Source organism: Homo sapiens, chromosome 17, assembly GCF_000001405.40.
Source record: "Homo sapiens chromosome 17, GRCh38.p14 Primary Assembly".
Lineage (NCBI taxonomy): Eukaryota > Metazoa > Chordata > Mammalia > Primates > Hominidae > Homo > Homo sapiens.
Window position 1 is genome coordinate 23,279,248 of NC_000017.11, and position 21,848 is coordinate 23,301,095.

At 40.9% G+C, this 21,848-nt stretch overlaps 1 annotated feature.

Annotated features, from left to right (window-relative positions):
• Positions 1–21,848: part of a centromere (Linear centromere model derived predominantly from reads generated in PMID: 17803354. This region does not represent an actual centromere sequence, as long-range ordering of repeats and unmapped WGS contigs is not provided by the model. For details of model production, see http://arxiv.org/abs/1307.0035.) that runs on past both edges of the window.

Here is a 21,848-nt window from a genome sequence, read left to right on the forward strand (position 1 = left end):
TTCCTTTCAAAGTTCACGTTTGAAACACTCTTTTTGCAGGATCTACAAGTGGATATTTGGACCACTCTGTGTCCTTCGTTCGAAACGGGTATATCTTCACACGACATACTAGACAGAAGCTTTCTCAGAAAATTCTTTGGGATGATTGAGTGGAACTCACAGAGCTGAACATTCCTTGCGATGTAGCAGTTTAGAAACACACTTTCTGCAGAATCTGCAAGTGCATATTTGGACCTCTCTGAGGAATTCGTTGGAAACGGGATAATTTCAGCTGACTAAACAGAAGCATTCTCAGAACCTTCTTCGTGATGTCTGCATTCAACTCACAGTGTGGAACCTTTCTTTGATAGTTCAGGTTTGAAACACTCTTTTTGTAGAAACTGCAAGGGGATAATTGCACTTCTTTGAGGCCTACCGTAGTAAAGGAAATAACTTCCTATAGAAAGAAGACAGAAGCATTCTCAGAACCCTCTTCGTGATGTTTGCATTCAACTCACAGTGCTGAACCTTTCTTTGATAGTTCAGCTTTGAAACACTCTTCTTGTAGAAACTGCAAGTGGATATTTGGTCCTCTCTGAGGATTTCGTTGGAAACGGGATAAACCGCACAGAACTAAACAGAAGCATTCTCAGAGCCCTCTTCGTGATGTTTGCATTCAACTCACAGTGCTGAACCTTTCTTTGATAGTGCAGCTTTGAAACACTCTTTTTGTAGAAACTGCAAGTGGATGTTTGGTCCTCTCTGAGGATTTCGTTGGAAACGGGATAAACCGCACAGAACTAAAACAGAAGCATTGTCAGAAACTTCTTTGTGATGATTGCATTCAACTCACAGAGTTGAAGGTTCCTTTTCAAACAGCAGTTTCCAATCACTCTTTCTGTGGAATCTGCAAGTGGATATTTGGGCCTCTCTGAGGATTTCGTTGGAAACGGGATAAAACGCACAGAACTAAAACAGAAGCATTCTCAGAAACTTCTCTGTGATGTTTGTGTTCAACTCCCAGAGTTTCACGTTGCTTTTCATAGAGTAGTTCTGAAACATGCTTTTCGTAGTGTCTGCAAGTGGACATTTGGAGCGCTTTCAGGCCTGTGGTGGAAAACGAATTATGGTCACATAAAAACTGGAGAGAAGCCTTCTCAGAAACTTCTCTGTGATGATTGCATTCAACTCACAGAGTTGAACCCTCCTATGGATAGAGCAGTGTTGAAACTCTCTTTTTGTGGAATCTGCAAGTGGATATGTGGACCTCTCCGAAGATGTCTTTGGAAACGGGAATATCTTCACATAAAAACTAAACAGAAGCATTCTCAGAAACTTCTTGGTGATGTTTGCATTCAAATCCCAGAGTTGAACCTTCCTTTGATAGTTCAGGTTTGAAACACTCTTTCTGTAGGATCTGCAAGTGGCTATTTGGACCACTCTGTGGCCTTCGTTCGAAACGGGTATATCTTCGCATAAAATCTAGACAGAAGCATTCTCAGAAAATACTTTGTGATGATTGAGTTTAAATCACAGAGCTGACCATTCCTTTGGATGGAGCAGGTTTGAGACACACTTTTTGTAGAATCTACAAGTGGATATTTGGACCTCTCTGAGGATTTCGTTGGAAACGGGATAACTGCACCTAACTAAACGGAAGCATTCTCAGAAACTGCTTTGTGATGATTGCATTCACCTCACAGAGTTGAACATTCCTATTGATAGAGCAGTTTGGAAACACTCTTGTTGTGGAATGTGCAAGTGGAGATTTGGAGCGCTTTGAGGCCTATGGTAGTAAAGGGAATAGCTTCATAGAAAAACTAGACAGATGCATTCTCAGGAACTTTTTGGTGATGTTTGTATTCAACTCCCAGAGTTGAACTTTCCTTTGGAAAGAGCAGCTATGAAACACTCTTTTTCTAGAATCTGCAAGTGGACGTTTGGAGGGCTTTGTGGTTTGTGGTGGAAAAGGAAATATCTTCACCTAAATACTAGATAGAAGCATCCTCAGAAGCTTCTCTGTGATGACTGCATTCAACTCATGGAGTTGAACACTCCTTTTGAGAGCGCAGTTTTGAAACTCTCTTTCTGTGGCATCTGCAAGGGGACATGTAGACCTCTTTGAAGATTTCGTTGGAAACGGAATCATCTTCACATAAAAACTATACAGAAGCAGTCTCAGAATCTTCTTTGTGATGTTTGCATTCAAATCCCAGAGTTGAACTTTCCTTTCAAAGTTCACGTTTGAAACACTCTTTTTGCAGGATCTACAAGTGGATATTTGGACCACTCTGTGTCCTTCGTTCGAAACGGGTATATCTTCACATGACATCCAGACAGAAGCTTTCTCAGAAAATTCTTTGGGATGATTGAGTTGAACTCACAGAGCTGAGCATTCCTTGCGATGTAGCAGTTTAGAAACACACTTTCTGCAGAATCTGCAAGTGCATATTTGGACCTCTGTGAGGAATTCGTTGGAAACGGGATAATTTCAGCTGACTAAACAGAAGCATTCTCAGAACCTTCTTCGTGATGTCTGCATTCAACTCACAGTGTGGAACCTTTCTTTGATAGTTCAGGTTTGAAACACTCTTTTTGTAGAAACTGCAAGGGGATAATTGCACTCTTTGAGGAGTACCGTAGTAAAGGAAATAACTTCCTATAAAAAGAAGACAGAAGAATTCTCAGAGCCCTCTTCGTGATGTTTGCATTCAACTCACAGTGCTGAACCTTTCTTTGATAGTGCAGCTTTGAAACACTCTTTTTGTAGAAACTGCAAGTGGATGTTTGGTCCTCTCTGAGGATTTCGTTGGAAACCGGGATAAACCGCACAGAACTAAAACAGAAGCATTCTCAGAACCTTCTTCGTGATGTTTGCATTCAACTCACAGTGTTGAACCTTTCTTTGATAGTTCAGGTTTGAAACGGTCTTTCTGTAGAAACTGCAAGTAGATATTTGGACCTCTCTGAGGATTTCGTTGGAAACGGGATAACCCGCACAGAACTAAAACAGAAGCATTCACAGAAAACTCTTGGTGACGACTGAGTTTAACTCACAGAGCTGAACATTCCTTTGGATGGAGCAGTTTCGAAACACACTATTTGTAGAATGTGCAAGTGGATATTTAGGCCTCTCTGAGGATTTCGTTGGAAACGGGATAAACCGCACAGAACTAAACAGAAGCATTCTCAGAAACTACTTTGTGATGATTGCATTCAAGTCACAGAGTTGAACATTCCCTTTGACAGAGCAGTTTGGAAACTCTCTTTGTGTAGAATCTGCAAGTGGAGATATGGACCGCTTTGAGGCCTATGGTAGTAAAGGAAATAGCTTCATATAAAAGCTAGACAGTAGCATTCTCAGAAACTTCTTTGTGATGCTTGCATTCAACTCACAGAGTTGAACTTTCCTTTCGAGAGAGAAGCTTTGAAACACTCTTTTTCCAGAATCTGCAAGTGGACATTTGGAGGGCTTTGAGGCCTGTGGTGGAAAAGGAATTATCTTCCCGTAAAAGCTAGATAGAAGCATTGTCAGAAACTTCTTTGTGATGATTGCATTCAACTCACAGAGTTGAAGGTTCCTTTTCAAAGAGCAGTTTCCAATCACTCTTTCTGTGGAATCTGCAAGTGGATATTTGGACCTATTTTGAAGATTTCGTTGGAAACGGGAGAATCTTCACAGGAAAGCTAAACAGAAGCATTCTCAGAAACTTCTCTGTGATGTTTGTGTTCAACTCCCAGAGTTTCATATTGCTTTTCATAGAGTAGTTCTGAAACATGCTTTTCGTAGTGTCTACAAGTGGACATTTGGAGCGCTTTCAGGCCTGTGGTGGAAAACGAATTATGGTCACATAAAAACTGGAGAGAAGCCTTCTCAGAAACTTCTCTGTGATGATTGCATTCAACTCACAGAGTTGAACCCTCCTATGGATAGAGCAGTGTTGAAACTCTCTTTTTGTGAAATCTGCAAGTGGATATGTGGACCTCTCCGAAGATGTCTTTGGAAACGGGAATATCTTCACATAAAAACTAAACAGAAGCATTCTCAGAAACTTCTTGGTGATGTTTGCATTCAAATCCCAGAGTTGAACCTTCCTTTGATAGTTCAGGTTTGAAACACTCTTTCTGTAGGATCTGCAAGTGGCTATTTGGACCACTCTGTGGCCTTCGTTCGAAATGGGTATATCTTCGCATAAAATCTAGACAGAAGCATTCTCAGAAAATACTTTGTGATGATTGAGTTTAAATCACAGAGCTGACCATTCCTTTGGATGGAGCAGGTTTGAGACACACTTTTTGTAGAATCTACAAGTGGATATTTGGACCTCTCTGAGGATTTCGTTGGAAACGGGATAACTGCACCTAACTAAACGGAAGCATTCTCAGAAACTGCTTTGTGATGATTGCATTCACCTCACAGAGTTGAACATTCCTATTGATAGAGCAGTTTGGAAACACTCTTGTTGTGGAATGTGCAAGTGGAGATTTGGAGCGCTTTGAGGCCTATGGTAGTAAAGGGAATAGCTTCATAGAAAAACTAGACAGATGCATTCTCAGGAACTTTTTGGTGATGTTTGTATTCAACTCCCAGAGTTGAACTTTCCTTTGGAAAGAGCAGCTATGAAACACTCTTTTTCTAGAATCTGCAAGTGGACGTTTGGAGGGCTTTGTGGTTTGTGGTGGAAAAGGAAATATCTTCACCTAAATACTAGATAGAAGCATTCTCAGAAGCTTCTCTGTGATGACTGCATTCAACTCACGGAGTTGAACACTCCTTTTGAGAGCGCAGTTTTGAAACTCTCTTTCTGTGGCATCTGCAAGGGGACATGTAGACCTCTTTGAAGATTTCGTTGGAAACGGAATCATCTTCACATAAAAACTATACAGAAGCAGTCTCAGAATCTTCTTTGTGATGTTTGCATTCAAATCCCCGAGTTGAACTTTCCTTTCAAAGTTCACGTTTGAAACACTCTTTTTGCAGGATCTACAAGTGGATATTTGGACCGCTCTGTGTCCTTCGTTCGAAACGGGTATATCTTCACATGACATCTAGACAGAAGCTTTCTCAGAAAATTCTTTGGGATGATTGAGTAGAACTCACAGAGCTGAGCATTCCTTGCGATGTAGCAGTTTAGAAACACACTTTCTGCAGAATCTGCAAGTGCATATTTGGACCTCTGTGAGGAATTCGTTGGAAACGGGATAATTTCAGCTGACTAAACAGAAGCATTCTCAGAACCCTCTTCGTGATGTTTGCATTCAACTCACAGTGCTGAACCTTTCTTTGATAGTTCAGCTTTGAAACACTCTTTCTGTAGAAACTGCAAGGGGATAATTGCACTCTTTGAGGAGTACCGTAGTAAAGGAAATAACTTCCTATAAAAAGAAGACAGAAGCATTCTCAGAACCTTCTTCGTGATGTTTGCATTCAACTCACAGTGTTGAACCTTTCTTTGATAGTTCAGGTTTGAAACGGTCTTTCTGTAGAAACTGCAAGTAGATATTTGGACCTCTCTGAGGATTTCGTTGGAAACGGGATAACCCGCACAGAACTAAAACAGAAGCATTCACAGAAAACTCTTGGTGACGACTGAGTTTAACTCACAGAGCTGAACATTCCTTTGGATGGAGCAGTTTCGAAACACACTATTTGTAGAATGTGCAAGTGGATATTTAGGCCTCTCTGAGGATTTCGTTGGAAACGGGATAAACCGCACAGAACTAAACAGAAGCATTCTCAGAAACTACTTTGTGATGATTGCATTCAAGTCACAGAGTTGAACATTCCCTTTGACAGAGCAGTTTGGAAACTCTCTTTGTGTAGAATCTGCAAGTGGAGATATGGACCGCTTTGAGGCCTATGGTAGTAAAGGAAATAGCTTCATATAAAAGCTAGACAGTAAGCATTCTCAGAAACTTCTTTGTGATGCTTGCATTCAACTCACAGAGTTGAACTTTCCTTTCGAGAGAGAAGCTTTGAAACACTCTTTTTCCAGAATCTGCAAGTGGACATTTGGAGGGCTTTGAGGCCTGTGGTGGAAAAGGAATTATCTTCCCGTAAAAGCTAGATAGAAGCATTGTCAGAAACTTCTTTGTGATGATTGCATTCAACTCACAGAGTTGAAGGTTCCTTTTCAAACAGCAGTTTCCAATCACTCTTTCTGTGGAATCTGCAAGTGGATATTTGGGCCTCTCTGAGGATTTCGTTGGAAACGGGATAAAACGCACAGAACTAAAACAGAAGAAGCATTCTCAGAAACTTCTCTGTGATGTTTGTGTTCAACTCCCAGAGTTTCACATTGCTTTTCATAGAGTAGTTCTGAAACATGCTTTTCGTAGTGTCTGCAAGTGGACATTTGGAGCGCTTTCAGGCCTGTGGTGGAAAACGAATTATGGTCACATAAAAACTGGAGAGAAGCCTTCTCAGAAACTTCTCTGTGATGATTGCATTCAACTCACAGAGTTGAACCCTCCTATGGATAGAGCAGTGTTGAAACTCTCTTTTTGTGGAATCTGCAAGTGGATATGTGGACCTCTCCGAAGATGTCTTTGGAAACGGGAAAATCTTCACATAAAAGCTAATCAGAAGCATTCTCAGAAACTTCTTGGTGATGTTTGCATTCAAATCCCAGAGTTGAACCTTCCTTTGATAGTTCAGGTTTGAAACACTCTTTTTGTAGGATCTGCAAGTGGATATTTGGACCACTCTGTGGCCTTCGTTCGAAACGGGTACATCTTCGCATAAAATCTAGACAGAAGCATTCTCAGAAAATACTTTGTGATGATTGAGTTTAACTCACAGAGCTGAACATTCCTTTGGATGGAGCAGGTTTGAGACACACTTTTTGTAAAATCTACAAGTGGATATTTGGACCTCTCTGAGGATTTCGTTGGAAACGGGATAACTGCACCTAACTAAACGGAAGCATTCTCAGAAACTGCTTTGTGATGATTGCATTCACCTCACAGAGTTGAACATTGCTATTGATAGAGCAGTTTGGAAACACTCCTGTTGTGGAATGTGCAAGTGGAGATTTGGAGCGCTTTGAGGCCTATGGTAGTAAAGGGAATAACTTCATAGAAAAACTAGACAGATGCATTCTCAGGAACTTTTTGGTGATGTTTGTATTCAACTCCCAGAGTTGAACTTTCCTTTGGAAAGAGCAGCTATGAAACACTCTTTTTCTAGAATCTGCAAGTGGACGTTTGGAGGGCTTTGTGGTTTGTGGTGGAAAAGGAAATATCTTCACCTAAATACTACATAGAAGCATTCTCAGAAGCTTCTCTGTGATGACTGCATTCAACTCACGGAGTTGAACACTCCTTTTGAGAGCGCAGTTTTGAAACTCTCTTTCTGTGGCATCTGCAAGGGGACATGTAGACCTCTTTGAAGATTTCGTTGGAAACGGAATCATCTTCACATAAAAACTATACAGAAGCAGTCTCAGAATCTTCTTTGTGATGTTTGCATTCAAATCCCAGAGTTGAACTTTCCTTTCAAAGTTCACGTTTGAAACACTCTTTTTGCAGGATCTACAAGTGGATATTTGGACCACTCTGTGTCCTTCGTTCGAAACGGGTATATCTTCACACGACATCTAGACAGAAGCTTTCTCAGAAAATTCTTTGGGATGATTGAGTGGAACTCACAGAGCTGAACATTCCTTGCGATGGAGCAGTTTAGAAACACACTTTCTGCAGAATCTGCAAGTGCATATTTGGACCTCTCTGAGGAATTCGTTGGAAACGGGATAATTTCAGCTGACTAAACAGAAGCATTCTCAGAACCTTCTTCGTGATGTCTGCATTCAACTCACAGTGTGGAACCTTTCTTTGATAGTTCAGGTTTGAAACACTCTTTTTGTAGAAACTGCAAGGGGATAATTGCACTTCTTTGAGGCCTACCGTAGTAAAGGAAATAACTTCCTATAGAAAGAAGACAGAAGCATTCTCAGAACCCTCTTCGTGATGTTTGCATTCAACTCACAGTGCTGAACCTTTCTTTGATAGTTCAGCTTTGAAACACTCTTCTTGTAGAAACTGCAAGTGGATATTTGGTCCTCTCTGAGGATTTCGTTGGAAACGGGATAAACCGCACAGAACTAAACAGAAGAATTCTCAGTAGCCCTCTTCGTGATGTTTGCATTCAACTCACAGTGCTGAACCTTTCTTTGATAGTGCAGCTTTGAAACACTCTTTTTGTAGAAACTGCAAGTGGATGTTTGGTCCTCTCTGAGGATTTCGTTGGAAACGGGATAAACCGCACAGAACTAAAACAGAAGCATTCACAGAAAACACTTGGTGACGACTGAGTTTAACTCACAGAGCTGAACATTCCTTTGGATGGAGCAGTTTCGAAACACACTATTTGTAGAATGTGCAAGTGGATATGTGGGCCTCTCTGAGGATTTCGTTGGAAATGGGATAAACCGCACAGAACTAAACAGAAGCATTCTCAGAAACTACTTTGTGATGATTGCATTCAAGTCACAGAGTTGAACATTCCCTTTGACAGAGCAGTTTGGAAACTCTCTTTGTGTAGAATCTGCAAGTGGAGATATGGACCGCTTTGAGGCCTATGGTAGTAAAGGAAATAGCTTCATATAAAAGCTAGACAGTAGCATTCTCAGAAACTTCTTTGTGATGCTTGCATTCAACTCACAGAGTTGAACTTTCCTTTCGAGAGAGAAGCTTTGAAACACTCTTTTTCCAGAATCTGCAAGTGGACATTTGGAGGGCTTTGAGGCCTGTGGTGGAAAAGGAATTATCTTCCCGTAAAAGCTAGATAGAAGCATTGTCAGAAACTTCTTTGTGATGATTGCATACAAGTCACAGAGTTGAAGGTTCCTTTTCAAAGAGCAGTTTCCAATCACTCTTTCTGTGGAATCTGCAAGTGGATATTTGGACCTCTTTGAAGATTTCGTTGGAAACGGGAGAATCTTCACAGAAAAGCTAAACAGAAGCATTCTCAGAAACTTCTCTGTGATGTTTGTGTTCAACTCCCAGAGTTTCACGTTGCTTCTCATAGAGTAGTTCTGAAACATGCTTTTCGTAGTGTCTGCAAGTGGACATTTGGAGCGCTTTCAGGCCTGTGGTGGAAAACGAATTATGGTCACATAAAAACTGGAGAGAAGCCTTCTCAGAAACTTCTCTGTGATGATTGCATTCAACTCACAGAGTTGAACCCTCCTATGGATAGAGCAGTGTTGAAACTCTCTTTTTGTGGAATCTGCAAGTGGATATGTGGACCTCTCCGAAGATGTCTTTGGAAACGGGAATATCTTCACATAAAAACTAAACAGAAGCATTCTCAGAAACTTCTTGGTGATGTTTGCATTCAAATCCCAGAGTTGAACCTTCCTTTGATAGTTCAGGTTTGAAACACTCTTTTTGTAGGATCTGCAAGTGGATATTTGGACCACTCTGTGGCCTTCGTTCGAAACGGGTACATCTTCGCATAAAATCTAGACAGAAGCATTCTCAGAAAATACTTTGTGATGATTGAGTTGAACTCACAGAGCTGAACATTCCTTTGGATGGAGCAGGTTTGAGACACACTTTTTGTAGAATCTACAAGTGGATATTTGGTCCTCTCTGAAGATTTCGTTGGAAACGGGATAACTGCACCTAACTAAACGGAAGCATTCTCAGAAACTGCTTTGTGATGATTGCATTCACCTCACAGAGTTGAACATTCCTATTGATAGAGCAGTTTGGAAACACTCTTGTTGTGGAATGTGCAAGTGGAGATTTGGAGCGCTTTGAGGCCTATGGTAGTAAAGGGAATAGCTTCATAGAAAAACTAGACAGATGCATTCTCAGGAACTTTTTGGTGATGTTTGTATTCAACTCCCAGAGTTGAACTTTCCTTTGGAAAGAGCAGCTATGAAACACTGTTTTTCTAGAATCTGCAAGTGGACGTTTGGAGGGCTTTGTGGTTTGTGGTGGAAAAGGAAATATCTTCACCTAAATACTAGATAGAAGCATCCTCAGAAGCTTCTCTGTGATGACTGCATTCAACTCACGGAGTTGAACACTCCTTTTGAGAGCGCAGTTTTGAAACTCTCTTTCTGTGGCATCTGCAAGGGGACATGTAGACCTCTTTGAAGATTTCGTTGGAAACGGAATCATCTTCACATAAAAACTACACAGAAGCAGTCTCAGAATCTTCTTTGTGATGTTTGCATTCAAATCCCCGAGTTGAACTTTCCTTTCAAAGTTCACGTTTGAAACACTCTTTTTGCAGGATCTACAAGTGGATATTTGGACCACTCTGTGTCCTTCGTTCGAAACGGGTATATCTTCACATGACATCTAGACAGAAGCTTTCTCAGAAAATTCTTTGGGATGATTGAGTTGAACTCACAGAGCTGAGCATTCCTTGCGATGTAGCAGTTTAGAAACACACTTTCTGCAGAATCTGCAAGTGCATATTTGGACCTCTGTGAGGAATTCGTTGGAAACGGGATAATTTCAGCTGACTAAACAGAAGCATTCTCAGAACCTTCTTCGTGATGTCTGCATTCAACTCACAGTGTGGAACCTTTCTTTGATAGTTCAGGTTTGAAACACTCTTTTTGTAGAAACTGCAAGGGGATAATTGCACTCTTTGAGGAGTACCGTAGTAAAGGAAATAACTTCCTATAAAAAGAAGACAGAAGCATTCTCAGAACCCTCTTCGTGATGTTTGCATTCAACTCACAGTGCTGAACCTTTCTTTGATAGTTCAGCTTTGAAACACTCTTTTTGTAGAAACTGCAAGTGGATATTTGGTCCTCTCTGAGCATTTCGTTGGAAACGGGATAAACTGCACAGAACTAAACAGAAGCATTCTCAGAACCTTCTTCGTGATGTTTGCATTCAACTCACAGTGTTGAACCTTTCTTTGATAGTTCAGGTTTGAAACGGTCTTTCTGTAGAAACTGCAAGTAGATATTTGGACCTCTCTGAGGATTTCGTTGGAAACGGGATAACCCGCACAGAACTAAAACAGAAGCATTCACAGAAAACTCTTGGTGACGACTGAGTTTAACTCACAGAGCTGAACATTCCTTTGGATGGAGCAGTTTCGAAACACACTATTTGTAGAATGTGCAAGTGGATATTTAGGCCTCTCTGAGGATTTCGTTGGAAACGGGATAAACCGCACAGAACTAAACAGAAGCATTCTCAGAAACTACTTCGTGATGATTGCATTCAAGTCACAGAGTTGAACATTCCCTTTGACAGAGCAGTTTGGAAACTCTCTTTGTGTAGAATCTGCAAGTGGAGATATGGACCGCTTTGAGGCCTATGGTAGTAAAGGAAATAGCTTCATATAAAAGCTAGACAGTAGCATTCTCAGAAACTTCTTTGTGATGCTTGCATTCAACTCACAGAGTTGAACTTTCCTTTCGAGAGAGAAGCTTTGAAACACTCTTTTTCCAGAATCTGCAAGTGGACATTTGGAGGGCTTTGAGGCCTGTGGTGGAAAAGGAATTATCTTCCCGTAAAAGCTAGATAGAAGCATTGTCAGAAACTTCTTTGTGATGATTGCATTCAACTCACAGAGTTGAAGGTTCCTTTTCAAAGAGCAGTTTCCAATCACTCTTTCTGTGGAATCTGCAAGTGGATATTTGGACCTATTTTGAAGATTTCGTTGGAAACGGGAGAATCTTCACAGGAAAGCTAAACAGAAGCATTCTCAGAAACTTCTCTGTGATGTTTGTGTTCAACTCCCAGAGTTTCACATTGCTTTTCATAGAGTAGTTCTGAAACATGCTTTTCGTAGTGTCTACAAGTGGACATTTGGAGCGCTTTCAGGCCTGTGGTGGAAAACGAATTATGGTCACATAAAAACTGGAGAGAAGCCTTCTCAGAAACTTCTCTGTGATGATTGCATTCAACTCACAGAGTTGAACCCTCCTATGGATAGAGCAGTGTTGAAACTCTCTTTTTGTGGAATCTGCAAGTGGATATGTGGACCTCTCCGAAGATGTCTTTGGAAACGGGAATATCTTCACATAAAAACTAAACAGAAGCATTCTCAGAAACTTCTTGGTGATGTTTGCATTCAAATCCCAGAGTTGAACCTTCCTTTGATAGTTCAGGTTTGAAACACTCTTTTTGTAGGATCTGCAAGTGGATATTTGGACCACTCTGTGGCCTTCGTTCGAAACGGGTATATCTTCGCATAAAATCTAGACAGAAGCATTCTCAGAAAATACTTTGTGATGATTGAGTTTAACTCACAGAGCTGAACATTCCTTTGGATGGAGCAGGTTTGAGACACACCTTTTGTAGAATCTACAAGTGGATATTTGGACCTCTCTGAGGATTTCGTTGGAAACGGGATAACTGCACCTAACTAAACGGAAGCATTCTCAGAAACTGCTTTGTGATGATTGCATTCACCTCACAGAGTTGAACATTCCTATTGATAGAGCAGTTTGGAAACACTCTTGTTGTGGAATGTGCAAGTGGAGATTTGGAGCGCTTTGAGGCCTATGGTAGTAAAGGGAATAGCTTCATAGAAAAACTAGACAGATGCATTCTCAGGAACTTTTTGGTGATGTTTGTATTCAACTCCCAGAGTTGAACTTTCCTTTGGAAAGAGCAGCTATGAAACACTCTTTTTCTAGAATCTGCAAGTGGACGTTTGGAGGGCTTTGTGGTTTGTGGTGGAAAAGGAAATATCTTCACCTAAATACTAGATAGAAGCATTCTCAGAAGCTTCTCTGTGATGACTGCATTCAACTCACGGAGTTGAACACTCCTTTTGAGAGCGCAGTTTTGAAACTCTCTTTCTGTGGCATCTGCAAGGGGACATGTAGACCTCTTTGAAGATTTCGTTGGAAACGGAATCATCTTCACATCAAAACTATACAGAAGCAGTCTCAGAATCTTCTTTGTGATGTTTGCATTCAAATCCCAGAGTTGAACTTTCCTTTCCAAGTTCACGTTTGAAACACTCTTTTTGCAGGATCTGCAAGTGGATATTTGGACCACTCTGTGTCCTTCGTTCGAAACGGGTATATCTTCACATGACATCTAGACAGAAGCTTTCTGAGAAAATTCTTTGGGATGATTGAGTGGAACTCACAGAGCTGAACATTCCTTGCGATGTAGCAGTTTAGAAACACACTTTCTGCAGAATCTGCAAGTGCATATTTGGACCTCTCTGAGGAATTCGTTGGAAACGGGATAATTTCAGCTGACTAAACAGAAGCATTCTCAGAACCTTCTTCGTGATGTCTGCATTCAACTCACAGTGTGGAACCTTTCTTTGATAGTTCAGGTTTGAAATACTCTTTTTGTAGAAACTGCAAGGGGATCATTGCACTTCTTTGAGGCCTACCGTAGTAAAGGAGATAACTTCCTATAAAAAGAAGACAGAAGCATTCTCAGAACCCTCTTCGTGATGTTTGCATTCAACTCACGGTGCTGAACCTTTCTTTGATAGTTCAGCTTTGAAACACTCTTTTTGTAGAAACTGCAAGTGGATATTTGGTCCTCTCTGAGGATTTCGTTGGAAACGGGATAAACCGCACAGAACTAAACAGAAGCATTCTCAGAACCTTCTTCGTGATGTTTGCATTCAACTCACAGTGTTGAACCTTTCTTTGATAGTTCAGGTTGGAAACGGTCTTTCTGTAGAAACTGCAAGTAGATATTTGGACCTCTCTGAGGATTTCGTTGGAAACGGGATAAACCGCACAGAACTAAAACAGAAGCATTCACAGAAAACTCTTGGTGACGACTGAGTTTAACTCACAGAGCTGAACATTCCTTTGGATGGAGCAGTTTCGAAACACACTATTTGTAGAATGTGCAAGTGGATATGTGGGCCTCTCTGAGGATTTCGTTGGAAACGGGATAAACCGCACAGAACTAAACAGAAGCATTCTCAGAAACTACTTTGTGATGATTGCATTCAAGTCACAGAGTTGAACATTCCCTTTGACAGAGCAGTTTGGAAACTCTCTTTGCGTAGAATCTGCAAGTGGAGATATGGACCGCTTTGAGGCCTATGGTAGTAAAGGAAATAGCTTCATATAAAAGCTAGACAGCAGCATTCTCAGAAACTTCTTTGTGATGCTTGCATTCAACTCACAGAGTTGAACTTTCCTTTCGAGAGAGAAGCTTTGAAACACTCTTTTTCCAGAATCTGCAAGTGGACATTTGGAGGGCTTTGAGGCCTGTGGTGGAAAAGGAATTATCTTCCCGTAAAAGCTAGATAGAAGCATTGTCAGAAACTTCTTTGTGATGATTGCATTCAAGTCACAGAGTTGAAGGTTCCTTTTCAAAGAGCAGTTTCCAATCACTCTTTCTGTGGAATCTGCAAGTGGATATTTGGACCTCTTTGAAGATTTCGTTGGAAACGGGAGAATCTTCACAGAAAAGCTAAACAGAAGCATTCTCAGAAACTTCTCTGTGATGTTTGTGTTCAACTCCCAGAGTTTCACATTGCTTCTCATAGAGTAGTTCTGAAACATGCTTTTCGTAGTGTCTGCAAGTGGACATTTGGAGCGCTTTCAGGCCTGTGGTGGAAAACGAATTATGGTCACATAAAAACTGGAGAGAAGCCTTCTCAGAAACTTCTCTGTGATGATTGCATTCAACTCACAGAGTTGAACCCTCCTATGGATAGAGCAGTGTTGAAACTCTCTTTTTGTGGAATCCGCAAGTGGATATGTGGACCTCTCCGAAGATGTCTTTGGAAACGGGAATATCTTCACATAAAAACTAAACAGAAGCATTCTCAGAAACTTCTTGGTGATGTTTGCATTCAAATCCCAGAGTTGAACCTTCCTTTGAGAGTTCAGGTTTGAAACACTCTTTTTGTAGGATCTGCAAGTGGATATTTGGACCACTCTGTGGCCTTCATTCGAAACGGGTACATCTTCGCATAAAATCTAGACAGAAGCATTCACAGTAAAATACTTTGTGATGATTGAGTTGAACTCACAGAGCTGAACATTCCTTTGGATGGAGCAGGTTTGAGACACACTTTTTGTAGAATCTACAAGTGGATATTTGGACCTCTCTGAGGATTTCGTTGGAAACGGGATAACTGCACCTAACTAAACGGAAGCATTCTCAGAAACTGCTTTGTGATGATTGCATTCACCTCACCAGAGTTGAACATTCCTATTGATAGAGCAGTTTGGAAACACTCTTGTTGTGGAATGTGCAAGTGGAGATTTGGAGCGCTTTGAGGCCTATGGTAGTAAAGGGAATAGCTTCATAGAAAAACTAGACAGATGCATTCTCAGGAACTTTTTGGTGATGTTTGTATTCAACTCCCAGCAGTTGAACTTTCCTTTGGAAAGAGCAGCTATGAAACACTCTTTTTCTAGAATCTGGAAGTGGACGTTTGGAGGGCTTTGTGGTTTGTGGTGGAAAAGGAAATATCTTCACCTAAATACTAGATAGAAGCATTCTCAGAAGCTTCTCTGTGATGACTGCATTCAACTCACGGAGTTGAACACTCCTTTTGAGAGCGCAGTTTTGAAACTCTCTTTCTGTGGCATCTGCAAGGGGACATGTAGACCTCTTTGAAGATTTCGTTGGAAACGGAATCATCTTCACATAGAAACTATACAGAAGCAGTCTCAGAATCTTCTTTGTGATGTTTGCATTCAAATCCCAGAGTTGAACTTTCCTTTCAAAGTTCACGTTTGAAACACTCTTTTTGCAGGATCTACAAGTGGATATTTGGACCACTCTGTGTCCTTCGTTCGAAACGGGTATATCTTCACATGACATCTAGACAGAAGCTTTCTCAGAAAATTCTTTGGGATGATTGAGTGGAACTCACAGAGCTGAACATTCCTTGCGATGTAGCAGTTTAGAAACACACTTTCTGCAGAATCTGCAAGTGCATATTTGGACCTCTCTGAGGAATTCGTTGGAAACGGGATAATTTCAGCTGACTAAACAGAAGCATTCTCAGAACCCTCTTCGTGATGTTTGCATTCAACTCACAGTGTGGAACCTTTCTTTGATAGTTCAGGTTTGAAGCACTCTTTTTGTAGAAACTGCAAGGGGATCATTGCACTTCTTTGAGGCCTACCGTAGTAAAGGAAATAACTTCCTATAGAAAGAAGACAGAAGCATTCTCAGAACCTTCTTCGTGATGTTTGCATTCAACTCACAGTGTTGAACCTTTCTTTGATAGTTCAGGTTTGAAAAGGTCTTTCTGTAGAAACTGCAAGTAGATATTTGGACCTCTCTGAGGATTTCGTTGGAAACGGGATAAACCGCACAGAACTAAAACAGAAGCATTCACAGAAAACTCTTGGTGACGACTGAGTTTAACTCACAGAGCTGAACATTCCTTTGGATGGAGCAGTTTCGAAACGCACTATTTGTAGAATGTGCAAGTGGATATTTGGGCCTCTCTGAGGATTTCGTTGGAAACGGGATAAACCGCACAGAACTAAAGAGAAGCATTCTCAGAAACTACTTTGTGATGATTGCATTCAAGTCACAGAGTTGAACATTCCCTTTGACAGAGCAGTTTGGAAACTCTCTTTGTGTAGAATCTGCAAGTGGAGATATGGACCGCTTTGAGGCCTATGGTAGTAAAGGAAATAGCTTCATATAAAAGCTAGACAGTAGCATTCTCAGAAACTTCTTTGTGATGCTTGCATTCAACTCACAGAGTTGAACTTTCCTTTCGAGAGAGAAGCTTTGAAACACTCTTTTTCCAGAATCTGCAAGTGGACATTTGGAGGGCTTTGAGGCCTGTGGTGGAAAAGGAATTATCTTCCCGTAAAAGCTAGATAGAAGCATTGTCAGAAACTTCTTTGTGATGATTGCATTCAACTCACAGAGTTGAAGGTTCCTTTTCAAAGAGCAGTTTCCAATCACTCTTTCTGTGGAATCTGCAAGTGGATATTTCGACCTATTTTGAAGATTTCGTTGGAAACGGGAGAATCTTCACAGAAAAGCTAAACAGAAGCATTCTCAGAAACTTCTCTGTGATGTTTGTGTTCAACTCCCAGACTTTCACATTGCTTTTCATAGAGTAGTTCTGAAACATGCTTTTCGTAGTGTCTACAAGTGGACATTTGGAGCGCTTCCAGTCCTGTGGTGGAAAACGAATTATGGTCACATAAAAACTGGAGAGAAGCTTTCTCAGAAACTTCTCTGTGATGATTGCATTCAACTCACAGAGTTGAACCCTCCTATGGATAGAGCAGTGTTGAAACTCTCTTTTTGTGGAATCTGCAAGTGGATATGTGGACCTCTCCGAAGATGTCTTTGGAAACGGGAATATCTTCACATAATAACTAAACAGAAGCATTCTCAGAAACTTCTTCGTGATGTTTGCATTCAAATCCCAGAGTTGAACCTTCCTTTGAGAGTTCAGGTTTGAAACACTCTTTTTGTAGGATCTGCAAGTGGATATTTGGACCACTCTGTGGCCTTCGTTCGAAACGGGTACATCTTCGCATAAAATCTAGACAGAAGCATTCTCAGAAAATACTTTTTGATGACTGAGTTGAACTCACAGAGCTGAACATTCCTTTGGATGGAGCAGGTTTGAGACACACTTTTTGTAGAATCTACAAGTGGATATTTGGACCTCTCTGAGGATTTCGTTGGAAACGGGATAACTGCACCTAACTAAACGGAAGCATTCTCAGAAACTGCTTTGTGATGATTGCATTCACCTCACAGAGTTGAACATTCCTATTGATAGAGCAGTTTGGAAACACTCTTCTTGTGGAATGTGCAAGTGGAGATTTGGAGCGCTTTGAGGCCTATGGTAGTAAAGGGAATAGCTTCATAGAAAAACTAGACAGATGCATTCTCAGGAACTTTTTGGTGATGTTTGTATTCAACTCCCAGAGTTGAACTTTCCTTTGGAAAGAGCAGCTATGAAACACTCTTTTTCTAGAATCTGCAAGTGGACGTTTGGAGGGCTTTGTGGTTTGTGGTGGAAAAGGAATATCTTCACCTAAATACTAGATAGAAGCATTCTCAGAAGCTTCTCTGTGATGACTGCATTCAACTCACGGAGTTGAACACTCCTTTTGAGAGCGCAGTTTTGAAACTCTCTTTCTGTGGCATCTGCAAGGGGACATGTAGACCTCTTTGAAGATTTCGTTGGAAACGGAATCATCTTCACATAAAAACTATACAGAAGCAGTCTCAGAATCTTCTTTGTGATGTTTGCATTCAAATCCCAGAGTTGAACTTTCCTTTCAAAGTTCACGTTTGAAACACTCTTTTTGCAGGATCTACAAGTGGATATTTGGACCACTCTGTGTCCTTCGTTCGAAACGGGTATATCTTCACACGACATCTAGACAGAAGCTTTCTCAGAAAATTCTTTGGGATGATTGAGTGGAACTCACAGAGCTGAACATTCCTTGCGATGTAGCAGTTTAGAAACACACTTTCTGCAGAATCTGCAAGTGCATATTTGGACCTCTCTGAGGAATTCGTTGGAAACGGGATAATTTCAGCTGACTAAACAGAAGCATTCTCAGAACCTTCTTCGTGATGTCTGCATTCAACTCACAGTGTGGAACCTTTCTTTGATAGTTCAGGTTTGAAACACTCTTTTTGTAGAAACTGCAAGGGGATAATTGCACTTCTTTGAGGCCTACCGTAGTAAAGGAAATAACTTCCTATAGAAAGAAGACAGAAGCATTCTCAGAACCCTCTTCGTGATGTTTGCATTCAACTCACAGTGCTGAACCTTTCTTTGATAGTTCAGCTTTGAAACACTCTTCTTGTAGAAACTGCAAGTGGATATTTGGTCCTCTCTGAGGATTTCGTTGGAAACGGGATAAACCGCACAGAACTAAACAGAAGAATTCTCAGAGCCCTCTTCGTGATGTTTGCATTCAACTCACAGTGCTGAACCTTTCTTTGATAGTGCAGCTTTGAAACACTCTTTTTGTAGAAACTGCAAGTGGATGTTTGGTCCTCTCTGAGGATTTCGTTGGAAACGGGATAAACCGCACAGAACTAAAACAGAAGCATTGTCAGAAACTTCTTTGTGATGATTGCATTCAACTCACAGAGTTGAAGGTTCCTTTTCAAACAGCAGTTTCCAATCACTCTTTCTGTGGAATCTGCAAGTGGATATTTGGGCCTCTCTGAGGATTTCGTTGGAAACGGGATAAAACGCACAGAACTAAAACAGAAGCATTCTCAGAAACTTCTCTGTGATGTTTGTGTTCAACTCCCAGAGTTTCACGTTGCTTTTCATAGAGTAGTTCTGAAACATGCTTTTCGTAGTGTCTGCAAGTGGACATTTGGAGCGCTTTCAGGCCTGTGGTGGAAAACGAATTATGGTCACATAAAAACTGGAGAGAAGCCTTCTCAGAAACTTCTCTGTGATGATTGCATTCAACTCACAGAGTTGAACCCTCCTATGGATAGAGCAGTGTTGAAACTCTCTTTTTGTGGAATCTGCAAGTGGATATGTGGACCTCTCCGAAGATGTCTTTGGAAACGGGAATATCTTCACATAAAAACTAAACAGAAGCATTCTCAGAAACTTCTTGGTGATGTTTGCATTCAAATCCCAGAGTTGAACCTTCCTTTGATAGTTCAGGTTTGAAACACTCTTTCTGTAGGATCTGCAAGTGGCTATTTGGACCACTCTGTGGCCTTCGTTCGAAACGGGTATATCTTCGCATAAAATCTAGACAGAAGCATTCTCAGAAAATACTTTGTGATGATTGAGTTTAAATCACAGAGCTGACCATTCCTTTGGATGGAGCAGGTTTGAGACACACTTTTTGTAGAATCTACAAGTGGATATTTGGACCTCTCTGAGGATTTCGTTGGAAACGGGATAACTGCACCTAACTAAACGGAAGCATTCTCAGAAACTGCTTTGTGATGATTGCATTCACCTCACAGAGTTGAACATTCCTATTGATAGAGCAGTTTGGAAACACTCTTGTTGTGGAATGTGCAAGTGGAGATTTGGAGCGCTTTGAGGCCTATGGTAGTAAAGGGAATAGCTTCATAGAAAAACTAGACAGATGCATTCTCAGGAACTTTTTGGTGATGTTTGTATTCAACTCCCAGAGTTGAACTTTCCTTTGGAAAGAGCAGCTATGAAACACTCTTTTTCTAGAATCTGCAAGTGGACGTTTGGAGGGCTTTGTGGTTTGTGGTGGAAAAGGAAATATCTTCACCTAAATACTAGATAGAAGCATTCTCAGAAGCTTCTCTGTGATGACTGCATTCAACTCACGGAGTTGAACACTCCTTTTGAGAGTGCAGTTTTGAAACTCTCTTTCTGTGGCATCTGCAAGAGAGACATGTAGACCTCTCTGAAGATTTCGTTGGAAACGGAATCATCTTCACATACAAACTATACAGAAGCAGTCTCAGAATCTTCTTTGTGATGTTTGCATTCAAATCCCAGAGTTGAACTTTCCTTTCAAAGTTCACGTTTGAAACACTCTTTTTGCAGGATCTACAAGTGGATATTTGGACCACTCTGTGTCCTTCGTTCGAAACGGGTATATCTTCACACGACATCTAGACAGAAGCTTTCTCAGAAAATTCTTTGGGATGATTGAGTTGAACTCACAGAGCTGAACATTCCTTGCGATGTAGCAGTTTAGAAACACACTTTCTGCAGAATCTGCAAGTGCATATTTGGACCTCTCTGAGGAATTCGTTGGAAACGGGATAATTTCAGCTGACTAAACAGAAGCATTCTCAGAACCTTCTTCGTGATGTCTGCATTCAACTCACAGTGTGGAACCTTTCTTTGATAGCTCAGGTTTGAAACACTCTTTTTGTAGAAACTGCAAGGGGATAATTGCACTTCTTTGAGGCCTACCGTAGTAAAGGAAATAACTTCCTATAGAAAGAAGACAGAAGCATTCTCAGAACCCTCTTCGTGATGTTTGCATTCAACTCACAGTGCTGAACCTTTCTTTGATAGTTCAGCTTTGAAACACTCTTCTTGTAGAAACTGCAAGTGGATATTTGGTCCTCTCTGAGGATTTCGTTGGAAACGGGATAAACCGCACAGAACTAAACAGAAGAATTCTCAGAGCCCTCTTCGTGATGTTTGCATTCAACTCACAGTGCTGAACCTTTCTTTGATAGTGCAGCTTTGAAACACTCTTTTTGTAGAAACTGCAAGTGGATATTTGGTCCTCTCTGAGGATTTCGTTGGAAACGGGATAAACCGCACAGAACTAAAACAGAAGCATTCACAGAAAACTCTTGGTGACGACTGAGTTTAACTCACAGAGCTGAACATTCCTTTGGATGGAGCAGTTTCGAAACACACTATTTGTAGAATCTGCAAGTGGATATTTGGGCCTCTCTGAGGATTTCGTTGGAAACGGGATAAAACGCACAGAACTAAAACAGAAGCATTCTCAGAAACTACTTTGTGATGATTGCATTCAAGTCACAGAGTTGAACATTCCCTTTGACAGAGCAGTTTGGAAACTCTCTTTGTGTAGAATCTGCAAGTGGAGATATGGACCGCTTTGAGGCCTATGGTAGTAAAGGAAATAGCTTCATATAAAAGCTAGACAGTAGCATTCTCAGAAACTTCTTTGTGATGCTTGCATTCAACTCACAGAGTTGAACTTTCCTTTCGAGAGAGAAGCTTTGAAACACTCTTTTTCCAGAATGTGCAAGTGGACATTTGGGGAGCTTTGAGGCCTGGGGTGGAAAAGGAATTATCTTCCCGTAAAAGCTAGATAGAAGCATTGTCAGAAACTTCTTTGTGATGACTGCATTCAACTCACAGAGTTGAAGGTTCCTTTTCAAACAGCAGTTTCCAATCACTCTTTCTGTGGAATCTGCAAGTGGATATTTCGACCTCTTTGAAGATTTCGTTGGAAACGGGAGAATCTTCACAGAAAAGCTAAACAGAAGCATTC